Below are 26,816 nucleotides of genomic sequence, written 5' to 3'. Positions count from 1 at the left end.
CTGCTGTGTCGTTCCCCTATTGGCTAGGGTTAGACCGCACAGGCTAAACTAATTCTGATTGACTAATTTAAAGAGACTGACAGGGTGAGTGCTTTGGTGGGAGTCAGGGCAGAGCAGGTAGCAGGTGATTGGAATAAATTAGGGTGGAGCAGGTGATCGGAATGAGTCAGGGTGGAATAGGTAATTGAAAAGGTTGCTTTACGAGGAAGTGAAGTTTAAAAATAGAAGGCAAAGAATTGAACATACTGACATATTAATTCTTTGAAAAGAAATTTAGAACTCATATCTAACAATCCCTCCCCTTGTATTTCCTTACAGCTTTCTTTTCATACTTTTTTTTTTTTTAACATGTCTTGACTTAGTTGCTTTGCTTGATTTTCTAAAAGAAGAAGCTTCTCTGGATAAGGTGGAGGATAGTTAAGGGAGGTTTTAGTAAGTGGACAGGCAACAAATTTCTAACAATAATAATAATGATTTGAATCTGAACACCTTTAAGGCAGGAACGAGTTCACCTATTGCCACAGTCCTCAGCCTTCCCAGTCCCACACGAGGAGGATTTGTTCATTTATTTATTTAAATTGTTTTTGAGACAGAGTCTTGCTCTGTCACCCAGGCTGGAGTGAAGTGGTATGATCTTGTCTCACTGCAACCTCCACCCCCCAGGTTCAAGCAGTTCTCCTGCCTCAGCCTCCCAAGTAGCTGGGATTATAGGCGCGTGCCACTACGGCCAGCTAAGTTTTGTATTTTTAGCAGAGACGGAGTTTTGCCATGTTGGCCAGGGTGGTCTCAAACTCCTGACCTCAGGTGATCCACCTGCGTTGGCCTCCCAGAGTGCTGGGATTACAGGCGTGAGCCACCGCGCCCGGCAGTTCGTTCATTTATGTGACCTGCTGGCTGCAGGTGTCAGATTTTTAACCTTCGAGGCTCCTGCAGTGCCACCTTTGGGGACCCCAGTTTGAAGCAGCAGATGAGAGTCCTGGAGCCCTGGCTCAGCCCCCGTAGAAGCGCTCCACCATAGGGCACACCACACAGTTCTTCACAGGGAGGGACTTGTGTGCTTAGCATCTGGCACTGCCCATAAACGCCAACTATGGCCTCTAGTTATTGTGACAACTGCACATTTCTATATGCTCCCTATCACCCTTGGCTGAGAGCTACCCAATCCTTTGGTCCTGGGTAAGTGACTTCCACCCTTGCCAGTCTTTTCTTGGCATAAAAACACAGAGACATGGAAGCCAATGGCATGTGCTATTTATTAGAATAGTATCCACAGATGGGGAGGAAAACAGAGGCTGTGCCAGGATGGGTGGTCAGCAGGTAGGTGTGAGCAGGACAGCAAGCATGGAGGGTAAGAAACGGGCTACAAGTCCCTTCCCTATTCTTGGCCTCCCCAGCCAGGGGGACCCTGGGGAAGCATCAACTACTCTTTAGTAAAATATACTCTGAGAGAGCGATGGTGGGGGAAAGCCAGCCATCAGAAGCCGGGTTGGGGAAAAAAGAGAAAGCCTCTGAGCTGGGGGAGTGGGCACGGAGGTCCCACTGCTGCAGTAAACACGGCACCTGGGACCCGGGCACTGCCACCTGGAGCCCATTTCATCAGCAGAGACCGGAGAGCTGAGGGCTACAAGAAGCACCCCACCCTCCTGGGCTAGAACCTCGCTGCTGCTGCTGCTGGTAGAGATGACCAGGCTCCTACAGCGCCTCTATCCCCACATGGTCATCTGCAGCCACTGTGGAGACAGGAAGCAGATCCCAGGGTGGGAAGAGACGGGGGCAGGATGCTGGCCCGGGGACATCAGAGCTGGGTGGGGGTGGGGTTGAGGGGCAGGCAGGTGCAATCCTGCAGATTCCTTCCCACCCTTCTCCAAGTACCTGTTCCAGGCTCAAGCAAATATGGCCAGTATTCTTGGGGTCCATGGTTAGAAAGAATGCTGCGTTACAGAGGAAGCGGGGGAGAGGGGCTGAATGCTAAGTCAGTGTTCCGAAAGAACCACTCCCAACTAGGTAGGAAGGGGCGACACCAGGTGTTCCTGGCTGTTCCCCACATAAATCCCCTAGCCAAGTGGGGAATTAATGATAGCAACTCACATAGCCTCACCAGGAGCCAGGCCCAGTTCTGATTGCCTTCCATAGACTAACTGGTTTAACCTGCACCTCAGTCCTTTGAGGGCAGTACTATTATTATCCACATTCTAAAGAGGAGGGAATGGAGGCACAGAAAGATTAAGTGACTTGCTCAAGTCACCTCTGCCAGCAAGTGGCGGAGCTGGGCTTTGAATCCATTTCATGTGTGCCTTGTAAGGGGGAGGGGATCTGGAGCAGCACCCATCAGGGTGGGTGTTTGGGAAAGGGCCCGCGGCCCCTGGCCTAGGCTGGGGAGTGGGTAGATGCCTAACTCACTGAACATGGTCTTTAGCCTCAGGAAACAGCTGATGAAGCTGTCAAAGTCTATGATCAGGTCATCATCTGCATACCTGGCCACCAGGACCTGCATTACCTTGTTGTTCAGCTTGATGCCTGAGAGAGGGAGAGAGAAGTGGGGAGGGGAAAAGTCTGGGCCTCTGGACACTGCCATCCTCTTCCCTGCCCCAAGGCCCACTCCTGACCCTTGGCCACCTGCTTTCTCAATAACCAGGCGCATCTCATAGGAGTTCAAGGTGCCTGAATGGTCCTGGTCACACTCTCTGAAGATGTCCTGAAGAGACAGACAGATATGGTAGGGCCACATGCATGGCATGGTGGTTGAAATAATGAAATACTGAGGCCGGGCGCGGTGGCTCATGCCTGTAATCCCAGCACTTTGAAAGGCCGAGGCAGGCGGATCATCTGAGGTCAGGAGTTTGAGACCAGCCTGGCCAACATGACGAAACCCCGTCTCTAATAAAACTACAAAAATTAGCTGGGTGTGGTGGTGCATGCCTGTAATCCCAGCTAGTCAGGAGGCTGAGGCAGGAGGCGGAGGTTACAGTAAGCAGAGATCGCACCACTGCACTCCAGCCTGGGCAACAGAGTGAGATTCCGTCTCAAAAAAAAGAAAAAGAAATACTTTAGGACAGTTGGCTCACAGCAGTGGCCTAAGACCCCATGCCCCCCTCCAACCCTGGCCCACTCCTGATATTCCTATCATCTGGTGACCTAAGGGTTAATTCCAAGCATGGGTTGTCGGGGGCACTGGTGCCCTGCCCAGCGCTCTTTGTGTGCATCCTTCATGACTAGATGATACCTGAGCTATACTTGTTATAAAATATTTTGACTGGGTAATATGCCACACTCCAACAGACCCTTTTCATGTGTGTGTGTGGTGTGGTTGTGTCTGTATGTGAGTGTGTGTGTGTGTGTGTGTGTGTGTGGTGTGGTTGTGTCTGTATGTGTGTGTGTGTGTGGTGTGGTTGTGTCTGTATGTGAGTGTGTATGTGTGTGTGTGAGTGTGGTGTGGTTGTGTCTGTATGTGAGTGTGTATGTGTGTGTGAGTGTGGTGTGGTTGTGTCTGTATGTGAGTGTGTATGTGTGTGTGTGTGTGGTGTGGTTGTGTCTGTATGTGAGTGTGTATGTGTGTGTGTGTGTGGTGTGGTTGTGTCTGTATGTGTGTGTGTGGTGTGGTTGTGTCTGTATGTGAGTGTGTATGTGTGTGTGTGAGTGTGGTGTGGTTGTGTCTGTATGTGAGTGTGTATGTGTGTGTGTGAGTGTGGTGTGGTTGTGTCTGTATGTGAGTGTGTATGTGTGTGTGAGTGTGGTGTGGTTGTGTCTGTATGTGAGTGTGTATGTGTGTGTGTGGTGTGGTTGTGTCTGTATGTGAGTGTGTGTGTGTGTGGTGTGGTTGTGTCTGTATGTGAGTGTGTATGTGTGTGTGTGGTGTGGTTGTGTCTGTATGTGAGTGTGTATGTGTGTGTGTGAGTGTGGTGTGGTTGTGTCTGTGAGTGTGTGTGTGTGTGAGTGTGGTGTGGTTGTGTCTGTATGTGAGTATGTGTGTGTGAGTGTGGTGTGGTTGTGTCTGTATGTGAGTGTGTATGTGTGTGTGTGAGTGTGGTGTGGTTGTGTCTGTATGTGAGTGTGTATGTGTGGTGTGGTTGTGTCTGTATGTGAGTGTGTGTGTGTGTGAGTGTGGTGTGGTTGTGTCTGTATGTGAGTGTGTGTGTGTGTGTGTGGTGTGGTTGTGTCTGTATGTGAGTGTGTGTGTGTGTGTGTGAGTGTGGTGTGGTTGGGTGTGTGTGTGTGTGTGGTTAGGGCTTGGGTTCTAGCTTCCCCTCATTAGTTCCATCTCTCCTAAGACCCTCTTTTCCTCACCCCTGGAGGCTGCCCCTTTAGTGCCCTTTACCATCCATTTCTTGAGTTTTTTCCACAGGATCTTGAACTCTAGAAGCCCCAGCTTGCCAGAGCCATCTTTCTGGAAGGTGGTCAAGGACAGCAGAGAAGGAGTGAAGAAGGCATCCCAGGGGATAGGGAAGCAGCGGGGGTTCCTGAGGGGACACACAAGCCCTGGGGTTCCGGTACTGTAGCAGCCAGAAGAACTGGCATCTTCTGCTACCCCAGAGCCTAATCCCCATCAGGGAGGAGGACGTGGCTGGCCCAGGGTGGCCATCTCTGGGCCAGGCTTGTGGGCAGGGGACAGGGCCAAGAGAGCACTGGACAGGAGGATACATCCATGAGGTTGATCATGCAGCGGCAAGCATCCAGGCCAAAGCCCTTGGTCTTGAAGCTTTTGACTGTGAGGAAGGGAAGGGGTAGAAAGGAGAGACAGGGTAAATGAGGTATCGTGGGGGCACTGGGAGTGATCAAGAGGGGCACAAAATATGGGGGAGGGGTCGTGTGCAGCAGGAGTGGAAGACTCACATTTGATGGCCATCCTGTTGAGCAGCCTCTGGAGCTCATACACCCCTATCTCCTTGCCCTAGGAAGGGGAACTGTGAACCCCACTCGGGCCCCTCCAGCCCCTCATCCCCCTCCTGTCAGCCCTCCGCTCGTGGCCTGCTCACCTCTCCTGCCACTATCTTAAACAAATGTAGGAAGTCCTGGTCCATGTCATCCTCAGAGACCTTTTCCTGGGGGCCGGGGAGCAGGAAAGGGACCTGGTCAGAAAACTTCTTTCACAGGCCCAGGAGCTTCCTTCCAACCCCCAGCCCTACAGTCTCCCCTCACCTCTTGGAGTTGCTCAGCATAGTTGACTTCATCCAATTCCCTGGGCAAAATGATTGAAAGCTCAAGAGTTACCAGGGGGAGGGAGGTGGGGGTTTTAGTGGGGTGCTCTGGGGGTCATGTCATGTCTTTGAAGCAATATAGGGCAGCTCCATGGAATATGGGTTCTAGTTCTAGTTCTGGTTCTGCCACTAACTGGGACTTCACCTTCTCATGCCTCAGTTTCCCTGACTGTAAAATAGGGACAAAGTGAGGGAGGACCCGACAGCAGCTCCCTGAGCTTGATATCCTGCAGCTCTTGGGTGGCGGGCCTTGGAGCAGTGAGCTGCAGCCCCTTACCATGACTCGCTGTGCTTCTCGGTGAAGACCCGAAGCAGGAAGTCAGCATCTCTGTGTGGCTCAAAGGTGGAGGGAATAATGATATATTCCCCCGGAGGCAGCCGGAGTTGGCTGCTCACCTCCCGTGAGTTGGTGAAGATCTCTGAGAAGCCGTGGTCCTGATACTTCGTGAAGAATTCCTTCTTCAAGTGGACATCCTGAATGTTCTGAAACTATATGCATCCTGGAAGTGGGTACAGGACTGGCATGGGAGGTTAGGGAGGGAGGGTCCCCCAGGGTGAACAGCCTGGCCGGGCAGGGTTGGAGGTAGGTGCCACCACCAACTGACCTGGCCTGGACACCATCTAAGTGGCCCGCAACTCCAACAGGGTCTCTTCCTTTCCCGACCCCTACCAGCCCTGAAGAGGGCTGGAATCCTAACCCAGTGACCCCCAGAGCCTCTCGCCAAATTCCACCCTTTGCCAATCCACTTGCAGCCAGGGGTGGAGTGGGTATGTGTCCAGGAACAAGCCCCACATCTTTATCTTCTGTACCTCTTTTGGGACCTGGGAAGGGAAGAAAGAGGAGAGTCAGATCTCTAGGGTGGTGAAGGGCCTCAGGCCTTCAGAAGCCAAGTGGGATGTGTATAGTGTGTGTCTGTGTGTGTGTGTTGTTGGAGGGGTATTAAGGGCACTGGGATACTGGTGGTGGAGTGGGGCACGGGCTCTGACAGTTCAAAGGTCCTGGCATTAACAATCCCTCTGCTGCAGAGGTGGGAGGATTGCTTGAGCTGGAGGTCAAGGCTGCAGTGAGTCACGATCATGTCACTGCCCTCCAGCCTGGGCAATAGAGTGAGACCCTGTCTCAAAAAAAAAAAAAAAATTCCTTCAGCTTTGGATAGGAAAGTACAGTTTATGCAAGGTAGATTTTTATCATTCCAGGTTAAGGGAAGGAAACAGAATCCCAAAGATGTGAGGTGATTTGTCCAACCTCAGATGGCTGAAAAGTGAAAGAGTTAGGATAAAAATCTAGGACAGTGTTTTGCTTTTCCGTGGAACACTCATATCCTGCAGGAAGTGAATAGAAGATTACTAAAATTGAGGATCGAGGACAAATAAGTTTGTAAAAATGTGAGTTAAACCAAGTTAAACAGGTTGCTCTATTGCAGAGGTGGCTTATCAGCACCTCAGTGTGCTTGTGTGCACCGGAGAGCTCAGGCTGCAGTAGTCTTTCCTGAGCTTTTTTAACCTTGAAGATGTCTTTGAGACAGGGTCTCACTCTGCGCCCAGGCTGAAGAGCAGTGGTGCGATCATGGCTTGCCGCAGCTTCGACCTCCTGAGCTCAAGTGATCCTCTCACCTCAGCTTCTCGAGTAGCTGGGACCACAGGTGTGTGCCACCATGCCCGGCTAATTTTTTTTTTTTTTTTTTTTTTTAATCGAGACAGGGTCTTGCTGTGTTGCCCAGGCTGGTGTTAAATTCTTTGGGCATCCTCCAAGTGATCCTCCCACCTCGGCCTCTCAAAGTGCTGGGATAATAGGCATGAGCCACCTCCCCCAGCAAAAATGTTATCCTGAGGCACCAGTCTGTTAGCCTGGTGGACTAATGGCCCTAAGAGTAGGGCAAGGCTTGTGTCTGTTTTGCTCACTATTGAACCCCTGGAGACTGGACAGGGGCCTGGCACACAGTAGATGCTCCATAAATACTTGCTTATATAAGGGAATGCAAGTGAATGAACAACATTCTTTTGGAGAATGTGGAGAATTTTGCAAAGCATGGTTTGGCTTGGGAAATGCTTATCAGGGCTTTCTCTTGGCTCCTGGAGTGAGTACTGCTGGTGGGGCAGACAAGGGGGATGGATTGTCGGGCGGGGCGTGTGGAGAAGTCTCAGAGCGCCTGGGAATCAGGACACAGGCTTGGCCTCTGACCCTTGGATGTGTGAGCTTGGGCAAGTGACTTCATGTCTCTGGCCCGCAGGCTCCTTCCGCTTCCTTAAAGGCATTAGTAGTTAGTATTCCTAAGACCTTTGGAACAATGCCTGGCACAAAGGATGAAATCTGTGAAGAGAAAACTGCCGGCTCTGGCTTGAAAGGCACAAAGCACCATTCAAGAGTCAGGGCTCAGCCTGGGCAACATAGTGAGACCCTATCTTACGAAAAATTTTAAAAAACTAGCAGGACAATTGCCTGTAGTCCTAGCTAGTCAGGAGGCTGAGGTGGAAGGATTGCTTGAGCCTGGGAGGTCAGGGCCGCTGTGAGCCGTAATCACGCCACTGCATTCCAACCTGGGCAACAGATTGAGCTCCTGTCTTAAAAAAAAAATCAGGGCTGTGAAGCCTGTTGGAGCCTGTCCCTCTCCCAGGCAGGAAGTGGCCCTGGGGAGAAAGGAGTGAGGCCAGGCAGCCGGGTGTGGTGGCTCACACCTGTAATTCCAACACTTTGGGAGGCCGAGACAGGCAGATTACCTGAGGTCATGAGTTCCAGACCAGCCTAGCCAACATGGTGAAACCCCGTCTCTACTAAAAATACAAAAATTAGCTGGGCATGGTGGTGCACGTCTGTAATCCAGCTACTGGGAAGGCTGAGGCACGAGAATCACTTGAACTGGGGAGGCTGAGGTTGCAGTGAATGGAGATTGTGCCACTGCACTCCAGCCTGGGCAACAGAGTGAGACTCTGTCTCGAAAAAAAAAAAAGAAAGAAAGAAAGAAAGGAGTGAGGTCAGGTGAGGGAGAGTGAGTGGCGGGCGAGACCAGCCAGGCACCCACCGCGTAGAGGACAAAGCCAATGGTCTGCAGCTGGGCTCCCTGCTGCCGTGCATGCCGCCAGTTCTTCTGCATTAGGGCCACCAGGCAGGTGCAGACCACAACATTGCCCTCTGCGTCATCCTCTGGGTCATCCCCCTCAGGAAGAGAGATCTTAAACTGGGGGTTGGTCCAGAACGTGCCTGTGGCGGAAGTGGGTCAGCGTGGTTATACGGGGGCTTCCCTTGGCCACGCCCTTCCCAGGGTGGACCGAGCTTCCCCAGCCACACTGGAGCTGTCTCCTCCACAGGGGCTGTGAAATCTGACTAACCCTTGACCTCATGGACCCTGACTCCGGTGACTCGTGCCCCAGGTCTGGTTTCGTGGTGAGCCGTGGCCCATCCTTCACTCCCTGCACACCCCCTCCCCTCTCACCCCTCACCCACCAGGGTGGTTCCTGCAGCCCCCTGCGGAGCTGCCTCTGCGCCAGCTGCCCTCGTAGAAGGTGGTGTGCCAGTAGCTCTTGTAGTCCCCAGAGAGTGTATCAGGCGTGAGGTTGCAGATCTCCAGGAGCGTGAAGTTGTTCAGGAAATCTTGGTAGGACATCCTGTGGTGGGGTGGGGGTGGAGCCCGTCAGCAGCACACTTGCATCCTCAGTTCCCTCTCCCTGAACCACCCCCCACAACCACCCCAAGCCTCCCCATCCAAGGCACAGAGAGGAGCGGAGCAGGGAGATGAAGGACCAGGGCCTAGGGTGGTGGTAAGAAGCCCACCCCAAGCCACACTGACCAGAACTCCCCGTCCTCCGTCTTGTGCAGCAGCTGCATCTGGATGTCTGAGGCCACCTCTTCCCACTCCCTGGCACTGGAGCAGAGATGGGCGGTGGAAGGAGAGGGGCGGAGGTCATGTGGCACCTCCTTCCTCTCCAGGGGACTGCCTCTTCCCTGAATGTCTGCCTGCTGGGGTGCGGAGCTAGATGGAGAATCTAGAGGGAGGAGCTTTGCCCTGTTGTACAGGTTGTTCTCCTAGATGGGACACCAGTCGGTCCACCTGGCACCGCCTGCTGTATCCTCCGACCACCCCTCACCTGGGTTGGGGACACCTACCTGTCACTCCAAGCTCCATTCCACTCAATCCGGCCCCAGGGATTCCGGACCCGAATCAGTGTTTCCATTTTGCCTCTGTAGTGGACCTGGGTGGGCGGGGGTGGTTAAAGGTCAGAGTTATGGGGTCAGGGAGACGTTCTCCTCCTTCTCAGGGTCCTCAGGGTAGGGCGCATTTCTCAGGACTCACATCCTGAAGGCCAGTCACAGAGTAAGCGTGCCCTCTCACCAGCATCTTGTCAGTCATGGATTCCAGTTCACTATCACTGGTGACCTACAGAACAGAGAGGGAGGGAGAGCATGGAGGGCATGGAGGGCATGGAGGACCTGGACTGGGCACCCAAAGGAAGGGGCGAGCTCTCCAGGTTAATTTTTTTAAACTAAACTTTTAAATTATTATCATTATTTTGAAATAATTGCAGATTCACATGCAATTGTAACAAATAATACAGAGAAATCCCGTGTATCCCATACTCAGGTTCCCCCAGTGGTAACATCTGGCAAAACTACAGTGAAATATCAAAACTAGAACGTTTTAAAAATTATTATTATTATTTATTATTATTTGAGACAGAGCTTTGCTCTTGTTGCTCTTGGAGTGCAGTGGTGAGATCTCGGCTCACTGCAACCTCTGCCTCGCAGGTTCAAGGGATTCTCCTGCCTCAGACTCCCAAGTAGCTGGGATTACAGGCGCCCGCCACCACGCCTGGCTAATTTCTTGTATTTTTAGTATAGATGGGGTTTTACCATGTTGGCCAGGCTGGTCTTGAACTCCTGACCTCAGGTGATCCGCCCACCTCGGCTTCCCAAAGTGCTGGGATTACAAGCATGAGCCACCGCACCCGGCTTTATTATTATTTTTGAGACAGGGTCTCGCTGTGTCACCCAGGCTGGAGTGCAGTGGTGTGATCTCGGTTCACTGCAGCCTCAACCTCCCAGATTCAAACGAGCCTCTCACCTCAGCCTCCTGAGTAGCTGGGACTACAGGCTCTTGCCACCATGCCCAGCTAATTTTTGTATTTTTAGTAGAGATTGGGTCTTGCCATGTTGCCCAGGCTTGTCTCAAACTTCTGAGCTCAAGCAATCTGTCCTCCTCAGCCTCCCAAAGTGCTGGGATTGCAGGTGTGAGGCACCGTGCCCAGCCCAGAATGCTGATATGGATGCAATCTGTAAACCTTATACAGATTTCCCCAGTTTTACAAGTGCTCACTTTTGTGTGCTCTATGCAATTCCATTATGTGTAGTTTCATGTAGCCACCACCACTGTCAAGATATAGAACATTTCTATCACCACAAGCATCCCTTGAGTCGCCCTTTTATAACCAAACCCATCTCTTCTCATGACTCCACCTCCCTAAACCTTGGCAACCACTCATCTGTTCTTAATTTCTATTATTTTGTCATTTCAAGAATGTCATTTAAGGCCAGGCACAGTGGCTCACACCCGCAATCCCAGCACTTTGGGAGGCCAAGGCAGGCGGATCACCTGAGGTCAGGAGTTCAAGACCAGTCTGGCCAACATGGTGAAACCCCGTCTCTACTAAAAATACAAAACTTAGCCATGCATGGCAGCAGGTGCCTGCAATCCCAGCTACTCAGGAGGGTGAGGGAGGAAAATCTCTTGAACCCAGGAGGTGGATGTTGCAGTGAAACGAGATCGCATCACTGCACTCCAGCCTGGGTGACAGAGTGAGACTCTGTCTCAAAAAAAAAAAAAAAAAAAAAGAATATCGTGAATCATGCAGTGTGTAACCACCTTTGGAGGGGATTGTCTTTTTTTTTTTCTTTTTTCTCAGCTAATTAATTTCTTTTTTTTTTTTTTTTTTGGTAGAGATGAGGTCTCACTATATTTCTTAGGCTGGTCTTGAACACCTGGGTTCAAGCAATTCTCCCACCTCAGCCTCCCAAAGTGTTGGAATTACAGGCATGAGCCACTGCACCTGGCTAGGGTTGGCTTTTTTCATTCAGCATAATTCCCCTGAGATCTGTCCTAGTTTCTCTGAGTATCAATAGTTTGTTCTTTTTTATTGCTAAGTAGTATTCCACGGTGTGTAATAAACAGTTTGTTTAACCATTTACTCATTGAAGGACATCTAGGTTGTTTCCTGTTTCGGGGCTATAATGAATAAAGTTGCTGTAAACATTTGTGTACAAACATTTTTGGAGACATGTCTTCATTTCTCTGGGATAAATGCCAAGAATGCAGGGTCATATGTAGCACCCTGGGTTCATGTATTTTGTCGAGCAAATGTTGGTTGGGTGCCTATTGCATGCTGGGCTCCTTCCTAAGTTCCAGGGTCCAGCAGTGAATGAGACAAAGAAGGTCACTGCCCTCATGGAATGTGACTACTATCTGGAGAAGATGGGCTATGAGTGAAAACATAGATAAGCAAGATAATTTCAGGTCACAATAAATGTTGGGGAGAAAGTAAAAACCAGATAGAAAGTAAACAGGGCTGGCTGGGCACCGTGGCTCATGCCTGTAATCCCAGCACTATGGGAGGCCGAGGTGGGTGGATCAGTTGAGGTCAGGAGTTCGAGACCAGCCTGGCCAACATGACAAAACCCCTTCTCTACTAAAAATACAAAAAACTACGCAGGCAGGGTGGCACACGGCTGTAATCCCAGCTCCTTGGGAGGCTGAGGGAGGAGAATCACTTGAACCCAGGAGGTGGAGGTTGCAGTGAGCCGAGATCTTGCCACTGCACTCCAGCCTGGGAGACAGAATGAGACCCTGTCTCAAAAAAACAAAACAAACAAACAAAAAAAAACAAAAAGAAAGTAAATAGGGTGGGGACGGCGACTTTAGACGGGGAGGTAGGGAAGGCTAGTCTGGGGAAAGGGCAGTTGAACTGAATGAGAAGGTGCTGGCCGTGCAGATACTGGGGGAAGAGCCTTTTGGGTGACAGCAACAGCAGGTGCAAAGGCCCTGAGGTGGGACCATGCTTTGCTTACTTCAATGGAGCAACCCATGAGGGAGGATCGCTCCACGGCCTTCCTAAGGAGCCTGAGCAGGTTCTGAGGGGGCCTCTGGAGTTGGAAGCTCTGGGCCACGCCTCCTGTGAAGTCCTCAAGGCCCTCCATGGTACTGCCCCCTGACAATGCTTCATAGGACCCACTCAGCCTGTGGGCACAGAGAAGGCACTGTTGGGCTCTAGGATGGAGGTGAGGGGAGGGAGGGATGTCCTGCTACCCCCTCCCCTCCCCCTGATTCCAGCTGTCCAGACAGAGGCAAGGCAAGCCCCCTTCCTCAGCTCCCAGCACTCACTTGGCATACGCCTTCTCCAGCAGGGCACTCCAGAACTCACTGCGTTCGGTTGAGTGCACAAACACCAGCTTGTCATTCTTTGTGGGCAGCCGGTCATCTACCACCACGTTCACCCACTGTCCAAACTGCCAAATCTGTGGGTAGCAAACACACACCCCTTGCGTGGGAACCCTATCATCAAGCGCCTCCTAGTGGCCAGACCTGATGACACGCCAGTGTCAGAGGCTCCACTCTCCAGAATCACTGAATAGAGAGGGAAAGGCAACCCAAAGCCTGAGCCCGGCCCCGCCTCCTCTCCAGCTTCTGCCACGGTCTCCAGAGGGGAATTTGTCCACACATTGCTAAGTCAAAGGGGCAGATTACAAAAATTATGTGACAGAGACTACCAGTGTCACACACACCCACACACACAGTGGAGAGGAAGAGAAGGAGAAGGGAGAAAGAGCCACAAATTGCTAACAACTATTTTCTTTTGGGACTTAAAAAATTAGCTTACATGATTTCTTTGGTGGGCAGATATTTCTCTGATAATTAGTCCAAAACCCACCCTAATAAATGCTATTTTTCAAAAGGAAAGAAGGTAAACTTCAAAGCATATATGATTCTTCCCCCGCCCCCAACAAAGCCACAGTGGCTCTCACACTGTCCTTCACCTGAAAATGGAAGATGCCAGCATAGTTTTTCTTGAAGCTCTGTCCTCTGGGCACCACGCGGTATAGCAGTTTGGGGCAGGTGGTAAGGGAGCCGATGGCAGCCAGCAGCCAGCAGTCCCCTGGAAAGACAGGCAGGGCTTTGCCACCCCTGAGCAACCCCATATGTGTGGGTGGGCCTCAGAATCCAAGGCCTAGGGGAGCAGGAACTTGACCCTGTACCCCATTCTCACCCCCCCGGCGGAGAGGCACCCTCCCTCAGCCCTCCCACTAAAGAGTGTTCAGGAAGGAGGTAAACAGGGAGAAACTGAAGGCGGAGAGACTCTAGTAAGGTGAGTTTCTGTACATTTTCTTTTTTGAGTCAGTGTCTTGCTGTGTCACCCAGGCTGGAGTGCAATAGCATGATCTCAGCTCACCGCAACCTCTGCCTCCTGGGTTCGAGCGATTCTCCTGTCTCAGCCTCCTGAGTAGCTGGGACCACAGGCGCCCGCCACCCCACCTGGCTAATTTTTGCATATTTAGTAGAGATGGGGTTTCACCATGTTGGCCACGCTGGTCTTAAACTCCTGGCCTCAAGAGATCTGCCAGCCTTGGCCTCCCAAAGTGTTGGGATTACAGGTGTGAGCCACAGTGCCTGGCTGTACCTTTTCTATTATGTGAGAGACACATCCTTTTGTTTTTCTTGAGTTTGGAAAAGAGGTACTTTTGGCCTCAGGCTCTAGGAACCTATTTTTTTTTAAAGTAAATTTTTATATATAAGTAGAGACAGAGTCTCACTATGCTGCCTAGGCTGGTCTTGAACTCCTGAGCTCAAGCAGTCCTCCTGCCTTGGCCTCCCAAGGTGCTAGGATTACAGGTATGAGCCACTGCACCTGACCAGTAACCTGCTTTCTTTGAGACAGAGCCAATACTCTCCACATTCTTCCAACAGATCCAGTCACCTTCCTGCACCCTGTGAGTACACTGGTGTGGCCACGAAGTTCCCAAGAGGTCTCTCCCTCATGTCACCCACATTATATTGGGGACCCAGGGCTCAGTATGTGCCCCAGCAGGGTCCCTGGAGCTAGGCATTGAAGTGGGTATGAGGCAGTGTCCCTGGCCTGAAGTTCGGCTAAAGGGAATCCTATGGGAGATGAGCACTACAGACCTCCATTGCCACCTGTCTCCTAGGCATCTCAGCCCTTGCTGGGTGGGGTCCAGGGGCAGGGTGCTGTGCATCCTACGCCAGGCTGAGGTTGAGGGAGCAGAAAGTTTCTATGATTACCAATGGCCTCTTGGCTGCCTGGAGAGAGGAATATCAAGGGCGCTCCAATCCCCCTCACTGTTAGAGTGCCTCGGAGAAGTGAATTCCCTCCTCCAGCCCATTGTCCCTCCAGCCTACTGAGCCACAGCGGCCACAGCAGCGGCCCTGGGGTCTAAGGTCTCCTTGGCCTCTGCTCTGCCCACACCTTGCCCTTTTTTCTGCCCCAAGGGGACAGAATTCAGTCTCAGAGAAAGCCCACCCTGGCTTTATCCCTAAAGAGGCAGCGAGGGATCTGGAAGAAACCCTTGAACGGGACCAGACTTAGGGAGAAAGATCTACCCTGGGGCTTTCTATGGGAGCCCTGTGAGAGTGGGCTGAGTAGACCCCGTTGCCCTCCTATTTGATACCCCAGATTGATCGGGTTCTAGCACCTGTAGTGGTTTCTACAAATTCTTTGACCATCCTCCCTTCCAAAGGTAGAGCCTAATTCCTCTCCTCTTGAGTGTGGACCAGATTCAGTGCTTGCTTCTAACAAATAGAATATGGTGGAAGTGATGATGTGCAACTCCTGAGACTAGGTCAGAAAAGGCATTATGGCTTCCTCCTTGTCCTCTCTCTTAGATAACTCGCTTTGGAAGAGCAAGCTACCACGTTGCGTGGACACTCAAGCAGCCCCATGGAGAAGCCTATGTGGTGAGGAACTGGGGCCTCCTGCCAACAGCCAGCAAAGACCTGAGAGCTCCTGCCACGTAAGTGCACCCTCCTAGGAGCAGACCCTCCAGCCCCAGGCGAGCCTTCAGATGATCACAGGTTGCAGACGTCTTGACTGTAACCTCCTGATAAACCCTGAACTAGACCCATCCAGTGATTCTGCTTCTGAATTTCTGACCCACAGGAACCGTGAGATAAGAAATTTTTTTTTTAAGTTGCTAAGTCCTAGGTAATTTATTATGTAGTCAAATGTAACTAATATTCCCCCCGCAAGACCCAGGCTGCAGCAGGCAGGGAGTGGCATCCAGACTTGGGAGGGGCAGGAAGAATGCACGGTGTTCTCACTGTCATCTCCTCAGAAGGGGAGGGACAGGGGAACAGAAGCAGGCTGTCTGACCTCAGGGCTCCCTGTTTCCCAGCTTCAAAAGACACCCTGGCACCCCTCCCCCAATCCTCTTGCCCAGGTGGAGACCAGCTTCCTGTGCCCCACTCACCGAGGATCCCCTGGCAGATGTCTGTTGGAGAAATCCCATCCATGATGAATAGAGGGTTGTTTATGATATCCTGCAGTGAAGGAATAAAGGTTTCAGGGGGCCCAGGACACCCCCTCCCCACCTTTCTCCCACTTTTGCTGGGGAATGATGCCCACCTTGAAGTTCCAGGGGAACAGATATGAGGGGCAGGGAGAGGGTACAGGACCAACTTGGCATAGCTGCAGCTTGTGATAGCAGAGGTTGGTGGGTGATTTCCTTAGGGTTACCTAGGAGGTTTGGCTTAAGCATATTCAGAACTGTCCCCAGCTCTGATGAAGGTGGGGCCTAGTGCCAGGGTCAGAATGGGGTAGTGGGGGGTTGAAGATTGAAGATTCTAAAAGTGATAGAGGGATCACTACAAGCTCCCTTCCATCCATGAGTCCATGCCTCCCTTCCAGTGCCCACCTTGGGCCGCTGCCAGGAGATGTTCTGCACATTTTTGGAGTTGGGGCCCAGGTCCTTGAAGCCCAGTGAGCTGGGTTCAGCAGGGAATAAGGGGTCCTCGAAGAGCTCCCCCTTTCTTAGACAGGCTGCTCGCAGCTCCTCAAAGCTCTGGTTACCAAAGTTCTGGGCGTTGTCGTGCTGGCCCACGCCCTTGGCCTTGAGCCGGCTGTTGTTTATGTGAGCCACCATTCCCGTATCAGTAAAAGTGGGCTCTGCTTAAGAAAAAAAAAGAGAAATAACGCAAGTAAAAAATGTAATAAGCTGGGCACAGTGGTTCACTCCTGTAATCTCAGCACTTTGGGAGGCTGAGGTGGGAGGATCTCTTCAGCCTAGGAGTTTGAGACCAGCCTGGGCAACATGGTGAGATCTCATCTCGACAAAAAAATTTTTTTTAATTAGCTGGGCATGGTGACGTGTGCCTGTAGTCCCAGCTACTCAGGAGGCTGAAATGGGAGGATCACCTGAGCCCTGGAGTTCGAGGCTGTGGCAGTTTGAGGCTGCAATGAGATGTGATGGCACTCCAGTCTGGGTGACAGAGCAAGACCTTGTCTCTAAAAAAAAATAAATAAATAGGCTGGGTGTGGTGGCTCACACCTGTAATCCCAGCATTTTGGGAGGCCAAGGTGGGTGGATCACCTGAGGTCAGGAGTTCGAGACCAGCCTGCCCAACATGGCGAAACCCTGTCCCTACGAAAAATACAAAAAATTAGCCGGGTGTGGGGGCAAGATGCCTGTAATCCAGCTACTTGGGAGGCTGAGGCAGGAGAATCGCTTGAACCCAGGAGGCGGAGGTGCAGAGCTGAGATCATGCCACTGCACTCCAGCCTGGCCAACAAGAGCGAAACTCTGTCTCAAAAATAAATAAAAATAAATAAATAAATATTTTTTTTAAATGAAAGAAGACAGTCACAAAGAACCCCATATTGGCCTGGTGCAGTGGCTCATGCCTGTAATCCCAGCACTTTGGGAGAACAAGGTGGGCGGATCACAAGGTCAGGAGTTCGAGACCAGCCTGGCCAACCTGGTGAAACCCCGTCTCTACTAAAAATACAAAAATTAGCTGGGCGTGGTGGCGGGCGCCTGTAATCCCAGCTATTCGGGAGGCTGAGGCAGGAGAATTGCTTGAACACAGGAGGCAGAGGTTGCAGTGAGCCGAGATGGTGCCACCGAACTCTAGCATGGGCGACAGAGTGAGGCTCCATCTCAAAAAAGAAAAAAAGAGAAAGAACCCCATATTGCGCGATTCTATTTATATAAAATGTCTATAGAGAGAGACAGAACGTAGATTAGGGGTTGCCTGTTGCTTAAGGAGATAGGAGATTAGAAGTTGATGGCTAAAGGGTATGGGGTTTCTTTGGGAGGATAATGAAAACAATCTAAAACTGGTTGTGGTGTTGGATGCATAACTGTGAATATACTAAAAGCCACTGAATTATACACTCTGTTTTTTGGGTTTTTTTCCATTTTTTTTTAAGAGGCAGAGTCTTGCCATGTTGGCTGGTCTTGTACTCCCACCACACCCAGCTGGAATTGTACTTTGGAATTATCCTTTGGTTTTTTGTTTTGTTTTTTTTTTCAAAACAGAGTCTCACTCTGTTGCCCTGGCTGGAGTACAGTGGCTTGATCATGGCTCACTGCAGCCTTGACCTCCTGGGCTCAAATTATCTTCTCATCTCAGCCTCCTGAGTAGCTGGGACCACAGGTGTGTGCCACCATGCCTGTCTGATTTTTTAACTTCTAATTTTTGTAGAGACAGGATCTCACTATGTTGCCCAGACCGGTCTTGGACTTCTGGGTTCAAGCAGTCCTCCAGTCTTGGCCTCCCAAAGTGCTGGGATTACTGGCATGAGCCACTGCACCCAGCCAAATGGTACACTTTAAATGGGTGAACTGTAGGGTATTTGAATTGTCTCTCAATAAAGCTGTTTTTTTTTTTTAATGGCCTCCAGACCATCTAAACAGATGCTGCTATTTTTTTTTTTTTTTTTTTTTTTTGAGATGGAGTCTCATTCTGTTGCTCAGCCTGGAGTGCAGTGGCATGATCTCGGCTCACTGCAACCTCTGCCTCCCAGGTTCAAGTGATTCTCCTGCCTCAGCCTCCTGAGTAGCTGGGATTACAGGTGCCCACTGCTACATCTGGCTAATTTTGTATTTTTAGTAGAGATAGGGTTTCACCATGCTAGCCAGGCTGGTCTCGAACTCCCGAACTCAGGTGATCCACCTGCCTCAGCCTCCCAAAGTGCTGGGATTACAGTCATGAGCCACCACGCCCGGCCTAGATGCTGCTCTTTTAAGGAGAGTGGAAATAATGGAGTGTAGAGAGCAGAGGGCAGAGGGAAGGGCTGCTGGTGTCGGACCGGGTCAGATAATGGCTGAGCAGGTGGCACTGGGCGAGTGTCAGGGTAAGAGTCGAGTCAGGCTGACTGATGGATCCCGGGCCTGCCAGGCGGCTTGGGACTCTGGACATCCTGCCCACACCTCCGCCCCCAGGGGGACTGCAAACTGCCAACATCCCTTCCTGAGGGTAGCCTCCCCTCCCCCCGCCGCCCTCCCCACACAACATGACTGACTTCCCCCACCAGCAGGCCCAGGGGAAGAGAAGAGAGTGAAGGAGGAGGAAGAAAAAGGGAGGCCACAGAGCCACGACGGGTCTGCAGTCCTACCCGCACATGAGCCCCGAGGCTTATCCTCCTGTGATCCATCCAGGCTCTCTGCTGACTCCGGAAGACTCGGCCCTAGAATAAGAAAGAGTGGGAGGAGGGGAGGAAGGCTGTGGTCTAAAGTTAAACAGAGCCCAGCTGGGGCTGGGGTGTAGGAAGATTTTAGAATGAGGAAAAGAACTGGGTTGGGGCGCAGCTACAGGGAGGGCAGCAGGGTTCTGGGGTTGTTTAGAGGTGAGACCCTGCTTGAGCCCACAGAAGGGTGAGTCCCCCAGAAGCAAGAGCAGGAGGTCTCAGTTAGTCCTCCTCCCCTGAGTGACAGAATCAAGAGACTAGTTATAACAGCAGAGCTGACAGCACTGAGCACCTTCTCTGTGCCAGGCACGCCAGCCCTACAAGGGGGTACCTGCAATACCCTGATTACTGGGAAAGGGAGCAGAGGCCCAGAGGCTAAGCAGCTTGCCCGAGGTCACAGAGTGAGGGTTGGGCGCGGGGTGAAATCCGTACTGCAGACCCTGGACCAAGCTAGCAACCTTCACTCTATGCTGAGCCTCCTGAAGGGAAGTGTTTCTCCTCAGCCTGAAGGCTGGCAGAACCTGCCCCATCTCTGTTAACAAAGGCATCGACAGATGATTCATTGCTGAACTTATCCCCCTTCCTCTTGCCACTGCCCCAAGCAAACCCCTTCTCCTGTTCCACACGAGTACCTCCTTGGGATTTCCTCAGGTCCTATAATGAACCCCTGTTCTCCTGGTCCCCCAAGATCCCAACACACCGCATCCCACATCAAAACAGTCATGGAGTCCTTCACAAGGGCATCCCCTCCTAGGACCCTAATTTCTCATTGCTACCATCACTGTCCGAGGCCAGGGCCTTCAGACAACCCCCAGACCTCAAATGGCCTCTTGTCTCCTGAAGACCCTCTCCAATTCATCACATATGCTCCCCCGACCACATACCACACCAACTCCCTTTGAGTGAGGTTTTGAACCCTTTACTGCTTCTGGAAACTTTCAGGACATCGCTTTGCCAGCAGGATAAGGCCAGCCCCCAGAGCCCCCTCCAGCCCTGGGCCCACTACTCCCAGTACAGACCCATCCCTTTGACCCCTCTTGAGTGTTCCAGACTTGGGGAGACCCTGTCTGTCCAAGCAGCTTTCCTGAGCTCTGTGCCCCAGGAGAGACAGTCCCTCCAGCAGTCTCCTCAACCTCATCCTCCCCTTCCCTCCACCTAGCCAGTGAGCTGGGGATCTTCCCAGACCCTGTCACTATGTCCCTTGCATTGTCTACTGCACCCTCTTAGCATCTCTCCTGTCCTCCTCCACACAGCCCGCGATAGGGGCTGCCCCTGTGCAGAGCCACATCCAGTGCAGTAAGCAAGGACTGGAAGCCAAGCATCCCCTCACAGGGAGGCCTCCCAAAACATCACTTTATCTCCCCATGCCTTGGCTTCTCCACCTGTGAGATGGGTGATATTCTAAAGTGTTTGCATTTGTTTCTGACACAAAACTCACTCAATAAATTAACCTTAAATAGCAAAAATCTAGGCCAAAAGAATGATTCCCCAACTGGCCCCTTTCTTCTAACATCCTCCTCCCCCACTAGTTCTCCACAGTGTTAGCTGAGATTTTGAAAATGCAAACCTGGGGCAGCATGGTGGCTCACCTCTGTAATCTCAGCACTTTTGGAGGCTGAGGCAGGTGGATCACTTAAGGCTAGGAGTTCAAGACCAGCCTGGCCAACATGGTGAAACCTCGTGTCTACTAAAAATACAAAAATTAGCCAGGTGTGGTGGTGCACACCTGTGGTCCCAGCTACTCCTGTGGCTGAGGCAGGAGGTGGCTTGAACCTGGGAGGTGGAGGTTGCAGTGAGTTGAGAGAGCACCACTGCACCCCAGCCTGGGTGGCAGAGAGTAAGACTGTGTCTCAAAAATAAATAAATAAATAAATAAAACATAACATAAAATAAAATGCAAACCTGATTATACATACCGCTCCCCCTCCCCAGTACTTTAGATGTCTCTCCCTTGTTAGCATGACAAACCCAAACCAGGCTTCCACCTGCCATCTGGCCCCACGACTTTCTGCACAGGTTACCCTCATTCCTCTTCCCATCCTTGTGCCTCTGCCTGCAATCATTCCTGATCCCATGCTCACACTGGGTCCACCGGGGAAAAGTCCTGTTCAGCCTCCCAGTGCCTGCTTGATGCTGCCTCCTCTGTGAAGCCTCCCCTGTGGTGTCCGCGCAGAACTTGGGGCTGCGCTAGCATCCTACACTTTTGTTAGGACACCCATCACTACCTGCCTTCCCTGAGTTGACCTGTCTGCCTCCTCTGTGAGGCTGTGAGCTCTCAAGAGGAGAGGGTGAGGCCACCTTGTATACTACTGAGTTTCAAAATGCTGGCTCAATAATGCTTGCAATGAATGAACAGATGCCTTGCTTGGTATTGTGGTTAATTGTTCATAGATGTTTTCTCTCTTCCACCCCTCCCCTACTCCCTATCCTGCAGCAACCCCAATATACTATATATTTTGTTTATTGTTTACCTCCCTCATGAGTGAAAGCCTGTGAGGGCAGGGATTTTTGTCTGTTTTGTTTGCTGCTGTATTCCTGCTGCTGTATTGAGTACATAGTAAGTGTTCAACATAGATACACTTTTTTGAGACAGAGTCTCACCCTGTTCCCCAGGCTGCAGTGCAGTGGCACAGTTATGGCTCACTGCAACCTCAAACTCCTGAGCTCAAGCAATCCTCCCTCCTCAGCCTCACGAGACCAGCAAGGGGAACATGGTGAGACCCCTGTGTCTACAAAATAAAAATTAAAAAAAATTAACTGGGCATGGTAGCATGTGCCTGTGGTCCCAGCTCCTTGGGAGGCTGAGGTGGGAGGATCACTTCAGGCTGGGAATTGGAAGCTGCAGTGAGCCATAATCCTTCCACTGCACTCTAGCCTGGGTGACAAAGTGAGACCCCCCATCTCAAAAACAAACAAACAAAAAATAATAAGGTTGAGGAGACTCAGGATCCTGAATTTTGCTTCTCCACAGAGCCTGTAACTTGTGATGAGAAGATATTAGGAATCCTGCCTCAGTTATGAGTAGTGAGCACTTATATAGCATTTCTAAAAATAATAATAGTTAGCAGCGTTTGAGGGCTCACTACATGTCTGGCACTATTCTAAACACCCGATGTGCATTAGCTGATTGAATCATCCCAACAACCCCACTGGTTAGGCTTACTCTTATAACTTCCCTGCTATAGACAGAGAAACTGAGGCAGAGAGAGGCTGAAATTCCTCAGACTCGGTGGGCATTAGAGTCAGGGCAGGCTGCTCTATGCTCTCAGCCATCAGGCTCGCTGCCTTGCTGGGAGGTCGCCATGGTGAGGAGCCATGGCTGTGCTGGAGAGGGATGAGTGAGTCAACTGGCCTTGGTGCGGCCCCTTCGTCCATTGTACTGCAACTTGTGTGTGGTCTTTGTGAAGTCACTTCCCCTGTGTGGAGCAGCTGACAGGGGGTGTTGAGGATGGATAAAGGTGTTGGAAAAGGGGTGGCTTGTCCCTTTTTAGCAGAGCTAATGCCCTGGGCTGCACTGGAGCCAGAGAATTAGCTGTGTGACCTTGGGCAAGTTGTTTGACCTCCCTGAGCCTTGGTTTCCTCACCTGTGTATAGAGGCTGCTGCATTCTACCTGCGAGGGTGTTTCAGGATTGAAGAATGCAACGTGTGAAAAAGACTGGAGTTTAGCAGGTGCTCAGAAAACGTTACTCACCTTCTCCCCACTGACCTAGTTGGTCAACTGGTATTTGTTGAGCTCCTTCTAGGATCACATGGCCCATGCTCTGTGTCACATATGTGTCCCTCCATCATAGGATTTAATGATACTAGTGATATTACTCCAATATTGGAGTCATGTGTGTGCTTGTCTGTCTTTGCCACTGGTTTGAGCTCCTGAGAGCAAACCCTAACTCGTGTTAGGCATGTTTTATGGAGAATTTATTCTGGGCTGGTACTGAGGGGTCAAAGTGAATGCACCCCCAACATGGAGCGTGGAGAAGACCCTCCCATGCGATTCCTCCCCCAGGTTCAGCTCCATGGGCCGCAAAGACAGGAGAAAGTGCCATGAAAAGGGGCCACCAGGTTGATGGGATCATCAGGGAGGTTCTGTGGGGGAATGACTATCCCCCTTTCCCTATTCTAAGCACATCCCATTCCCCTGAGGGTGGGGTGCACTTTGACGTCCTGGTTCTGGAAGCATCAGGGCTGGGAAGCAGGGAAGAGGGTGGGTAGAGCCAGAGTCTGGGAGTTCTCCTCGCTCTTTTCTCCCTCCATTTTCCTCAAACCCTGTCTCTTCTAACCCAAGCCCTCTGGGATTATCTTAGAAATGGTAATGGAAGCTCCCTCACCCCCTCGGGCTATGATTACAGGTGTGTGTGTGTGTGTGTGTGTGTGTGTGTGTGTGTGTGTGTCTTTATTCAAAGAGACTGTGAGGGGGGCTGCGGGGGCGGGGTTAAACAGTGGAGCCCCTTTCAGATGAAGAGGGTTCCGAGGGAAGGGTGGAAAGCAGTCCTGAGAGGGGAGAGCTGAACACCTTCTGTTTCAGCCCCTGATCCCTATCTGTGAAGCTGGCGGATCAGGATGACTATTCCCATCTGAGCTGGGTGGAAGCCAGGGCCTCCACAGAGAGATTGAGTCAGAAGTTCTCAACCCGGGGTGATTACGGCCCCCAGGGAACAGGTGGCAACGTCTAGAGGCAGTGTTGGTTGTCATAACTGGGGCAGGTCTCAGGGGAGCTACTGGCATCTAGTAAGTAGAGGCCAGGGATGCTGCTGGGCGCCCCTCAGTGTAGAGGAAAGTCTCCACAATAAAGAATTTTCCAGTTCAAAATGTCAAGAGAGCTGGGGTTGACAAACCTGGGTTGAGCGAATCATCTAAGGTCATTCACACGATAAGGCAAACCACTCCATGCCCTTGCACCGTGCAGTCACTCCAGGCAGCCTCTACCCTGGCTGCTCCGAGGACTGAGGGTGTTGAGCTCTCCTGGGGGCCTGGAAGGACCAGGGAAGATGCTGTTGTTTGAGAAGACTGAAAGAACATCAGAGGGCAGGCCAAGGCAATTCAGGTTCCATCTTAACTCCCTTGTCTCATTTCCCCAGAGCCCTCTGTCCCCTAGTCACCATCCAGCCCAACAAGTCATTTCTCACTGTCTGGCCCCCAAACCCTGCTTCGAAGCTGCATACCCAGTCCCCAGGGTGTGAGGTCATTACTCAGCTCTGACTTGCAGGAAGGACTGACACACCTATCCACACCACCACAGTTGTCATGGAAAATGTCTTTAAGTTGGGCACTGTGGCTCACGCCTGTAATCCCAGCACTTTGAGAGGCTGAGGTGGGCGGATCACCTGAAGTCAGGAGTTCAAGACCCGCCTGGCCAACATGGTGAAACCCCGTCTCTACTAAGAACACAAAAATGAGTTGGGTGTGGTAGCACATGCCTGTAGTCCCAGCTATTCAGGAGGCTGAGGCAGGAGAATCGCTTGAACCCGGGAGGTGGAGGTTGCAGTGAGCCAAGGTTGGGCCACTGCACTCCAGCCTGGGCAATAGAGTGAGACTCCACCTCAAAACAAACAAACAAACAAAAACACCAAAAAAAAAAAAAACCCAAAAGAAAATATCCCCTTAGAGAGGGCAAAAGATCCAAGCTGTCACATGGGCTAGGAGCGTGAGAAGGCTGAGACAGACAGACCAAGGCTGCCTGTGGGAAGCACAGACAGATGGCCAGAGCAACACAGTAGCTCCCCTTAACCCTAGGGGTACGTTCCAACACCCCCAGTGGACACCTGAAACTGCGGGTGGTACCAAACCCTGTATATATCAATACTATGTCTTTCCTTTATGTACATACCTATGATAAAGTTTAGTTTATAAATTAGGCACAGTAAGCAGTTAACCATAATAAGTAATAAAATATAACAAATACAACAATACAATAACAGTAATGTGAATGTGGTCTCTCTGTCTCAAAATATCCTGATGTTTTCAGACTGCAGTTGACAGCGGGTAACTGAAACTGCGTGGAAAGCAGGGGCTGCTGCATGTTAAAAGGCATGAATGGACAGGAAGCTTTCTGCTGCAGCTGCACATCCTGTCTCCTCCATCAGACTGAGAACCTACAGATCATTTTGTTGTTGTTGTTGTTGTTGTTTTTTGAGGTTTTTTTTGAGGCGGAGTCTCACTCTGTCGCCCAGGCTGGAGTGCAGTGGAGCGATCTTGGCTCACTGCAAGCTCCACCTTCTGGGTTCACGCTATTCTCCTGCCTCAGCCTCCCGAGTAGCTGGGACTACAGGCGCCCGCCACCACGCCTGGCTTATTTTTTGTATTTTTAGTAGAGACAGGGTTTCACCGCGTTAGCCAAGATGGTCCCGATCTCCTGACTTCGTGATCTGCCCGCCACGGCCTCCCAAAGTGCTGGGATTACAGGCGTGAGCCACTGCGCCCGGCCAGATCGTTTTTAACTAAATCAGTTTTATTTTATTGACAAAAAAAGTATATATCTGTTGTATACGACATGGTGTTTTGAAATATGTATTCACTGTGGAATGGCTCAGTTGAGCTAATTAATATCTGCATTACTGCACATACTTGTTATTTGTTTGTGGTGAGAACACTTAAAATCTACTGTCAGTGATTTTCTTTTTTTTTTGAGATGGAGTCTCGCTGTGTCGCCCAGGCTTGGGGTGCGGTGGCACGATCTCGGCTCACTGCAACCTCCACTTGCTGGGTTCAAGAGATTCTCCTGCCTCAGCCTCCCGAGTAGCTGGGATTACAGGCGCCCGCCACCACGCATGGCTAATTTTTGTATTTTAGTAGAGACACGGTTTCACTATGTTGGCCAGGCTGGTCTCGAACTCCTGACCTCAGATGATCCACCTGCCTTGGCCTCCCAGAGTGCTAGGATTACAGGCGTGAACCACTGTGCCTGGCCTCTCTCAGTGATTTTCTAAATGCAATACATTGTTATTAGGGGACTATAGATTTAAGGACAGTTTGATTTCCGGCACTGGGAAAAAACTAAGATGTTGTGTCAGGGAACTTTAAAAAAAAATAAATACTAATAAGTAATAATAATAAATAAATAAATTATATTTTGAGATGAGGTCTTGCTATGCTGACCAGGCTGGTCTTGAACTCCTGGGCTCAGGGCACTTCTGAAGAACAAGGACTGGGTTTGGGGTCACCAGCTAGGCCTAAACTTCCTAGGGTCAGGTAAACAGGGAGGGCCTGAGAAGCTGGGAGGCTGGGTCTAGGGGCCCATGGTCTCACGGTGCCCCAGGCTGAGGGTGAGGTACAGGGCTGACCTTCTGCTGGCCAAGGCTGGCTGCCCTCTGTGCACCCTAGCCCCACAGGAACAACTCAGTTCTGCCCAGCCCTCCCCTTCCCCCCAGCCCACTCTCCCCCATCTCCTGGAGTCTGGTCCCAGGCTTGCCTCAGGTAGTCCTGCCCCTGCCACCCTGAGGATCTCATCTTCCTGGGCTGAGGGACCTGCTTTTCTAGGCTTAGGAGAGGTTCTCTCTGTTCCCTAAAGTTTTCTTCTCTACGTGGGCTTTTTCACACAAACCCTTTTCCCCAGCAGCCATGACAGTGGGATGGCCGGCCCCTCTCCTCTCCCCAACTCCAACTGTCAGTGGAGAGGAGAAAGAGTTCCTGCCCGGCCTACCACCCAGTCTGACCACCAGTGGCCTATCCTTCCCCAAACAGTCTGAGAACGAGGCCCAGGTCCTGTCCTTAGGGAGCATCCAGTCTGATGGAAGAGTCACTCTCTGTACCCTCAAGGGGCATCCAGTCTGATGGAAGAGTCACTCTCTGTACCCTCAAGGGGCACCCAGTCTGATGCGGGACACAGCTCCTCCCCTGGGGGGAGGCTCTAGCCTGCAGGAGGTACAGGAGTGGGGCAAGGCCCCATGAGTGCCTACCTGGGGAGTACAGCATGCTGGTGGCTAGCTCGGTGCTTGACAGTT

The 26,816-nt window shown here is 51.3% G+C and overlaps 1 protein-coding gene across 12 annotated transcripts, besides 5 other annotated features; it reads right to left on the bottom strand.

Moving 5' to 3' along the window:
* Positions 1,235-26,816, bottom strand: CAPN11 (calpain 11). 12 transcript variants are annotated; one of them, XR_001743136.2, is made up of 24 exons: positions 26,772-26,816; positions 18,807-18,878; positions 16,105-16,358; positions 15,661-15,730; positions 13,216-13,334; positions 12,563-12,696; positions 12,250-12,418; positions 9,485-9,568; positions 9,298-9,383; positions 8,981-9,055; positions 8,638-8,798; positions 8,216-8,394; positions 6,006-6,017; positions 5,473-5,684; positions 5,137-5,176; positions 4,974-5,039; positions 4,831-4,888; positions 4,639-4,703; positions 4,316-4,384; positions 2,607-2,695; positions 2,401-2,517; positions 2,089-2,192; positions 1,873-1,931; positions 1,235-1,730 (listed from the first exon to the last, which is right to left on the bottom strand). XR_001743136.2 is itself a non-coding variant. In XM_011514274.2 (24 exons), exons 2-24 carry the CDS (start codon positions 23,737-23,739, stop codon positions 1,704-1,706), a joined length of 2,235 nt encoding a protein of 744 aa, XP_011512576.1. In that variant the 5' UTR covers positions 23,740-23,846; positions 26,772-26,816; the 3' UTR covers positions 1,235-1,703. The 12 variants fall into 12 exon arrangements, 6 of the variants coding, with proteins under 6 accessions (XP_011512576.1, XP_011512577.1, XP_006715047.1 ...); XR_926042.2 differs by having other exon boundaries at positions 2,617-2,695; XM_011514274.2 differs by lacking the exon at positions 2,089-2,192 and adding an exon at positions 23,712-23,846 and having other exon boundaries at positions 2,617-2,695.
* Positions 8,281-8,983: an enhancer, noted in NCBI's record as "H3K27ac-H3K4me1 hESC enhancer chr6:44144390-44145092 (GRCh37/hg19 assembly coordinates)". NCBI's record gives its function as "activates a minimal SCP1, AML or CMV promoter by ChIP-STARR-seq in primed H9 embryonic stem cells {active_cell/tissue: H9 hESC(primed)}" and the evidence as "EXISTENCE:reporter gene assay evidence [ECO:0000049][PMID:30033119]".
* Positions 14,974-16,173: an enhancer, noted in NCBI's record as "CDK7 strongly-dependent group 2 enhancer chr6:44137200-44138399 (GRCh37/hg19 assembly coordinates)". NCBI's record gives its function as "activates an origin of replication core promoter dependent on BRD2, BRD4, P300/CBP, MED14 and CDK7 cofactors, with strong dependence on CDK7, by STARR-seq in HCT116 cells {active_cell/tissue: HCT116}" and the evidence as "EXISTENCE:reporter gene assay evidence [ECO:0000049][PMID:35650434]".
* Positions 18,016-18,898: an enhancer, noted in NCBI's record as "H3K27ac-H3K4me1 hESC enhancer chr6:44134475-44135357 (GRCh37/hg19 assembly coordinates)". NCBI's record gives its function as "activates a minimal SCP1, AML or CMV promoter by ChIP-STARR-seq in primed H9 embryonic stem cells {active_cell/tissue: H9 hESC(primed)}" and the evidence as "EXISTENCE:reporter gene assay evidence [ECO:0000049][PMID:30033119]".
* Positions 23,997-24,086: a silencer, noted in NCBI's record as "silent region_17255". NCBI's record gives its function as "represses an Ori minimal core promoter by ATAC-STARR-seq in GM12878 lymphoblastoid cells {active_cell/tissue: GM12878}" and the evidence as "EXISTENCE:reporter gene assay evidence [ECO:0000049][PMID:35858748]".
* Positions 25,470-25,639: an enhancer, noted in NCBI's record as "experimental_91890 CRE fragment used in MPRA reporter constructs". NCBI's record gives its function as "activates a minimal promoter by MPRAs in K562 erythroleukemia cells, with activity observed for both the introgressed and non-introgressed 6:44127819 variant alleles {active_cell/tissue: K562}" and the evidence as "EXISTENCE:reporter gene assay evidence [ECO:0000049][PMID:34662402]".

This window comes from Homo sapiens, chromosome 6, assembly GCF_000001405.40.
Source record: "Homo sapiens chromosome 6, GRCh38.p14 Primary Assembly".
Taxonomy (NCBI): Eukaryota; Metazoa; Chordata; class Mammalia; order Primates; family Hominidae; genus Homo; species Homo sapiens.
The sequence above is the reverse complement of the archived record's forward strand: the minus strand, read 5'-3'. Positions and strand labels throughout refer to the sequence as shown.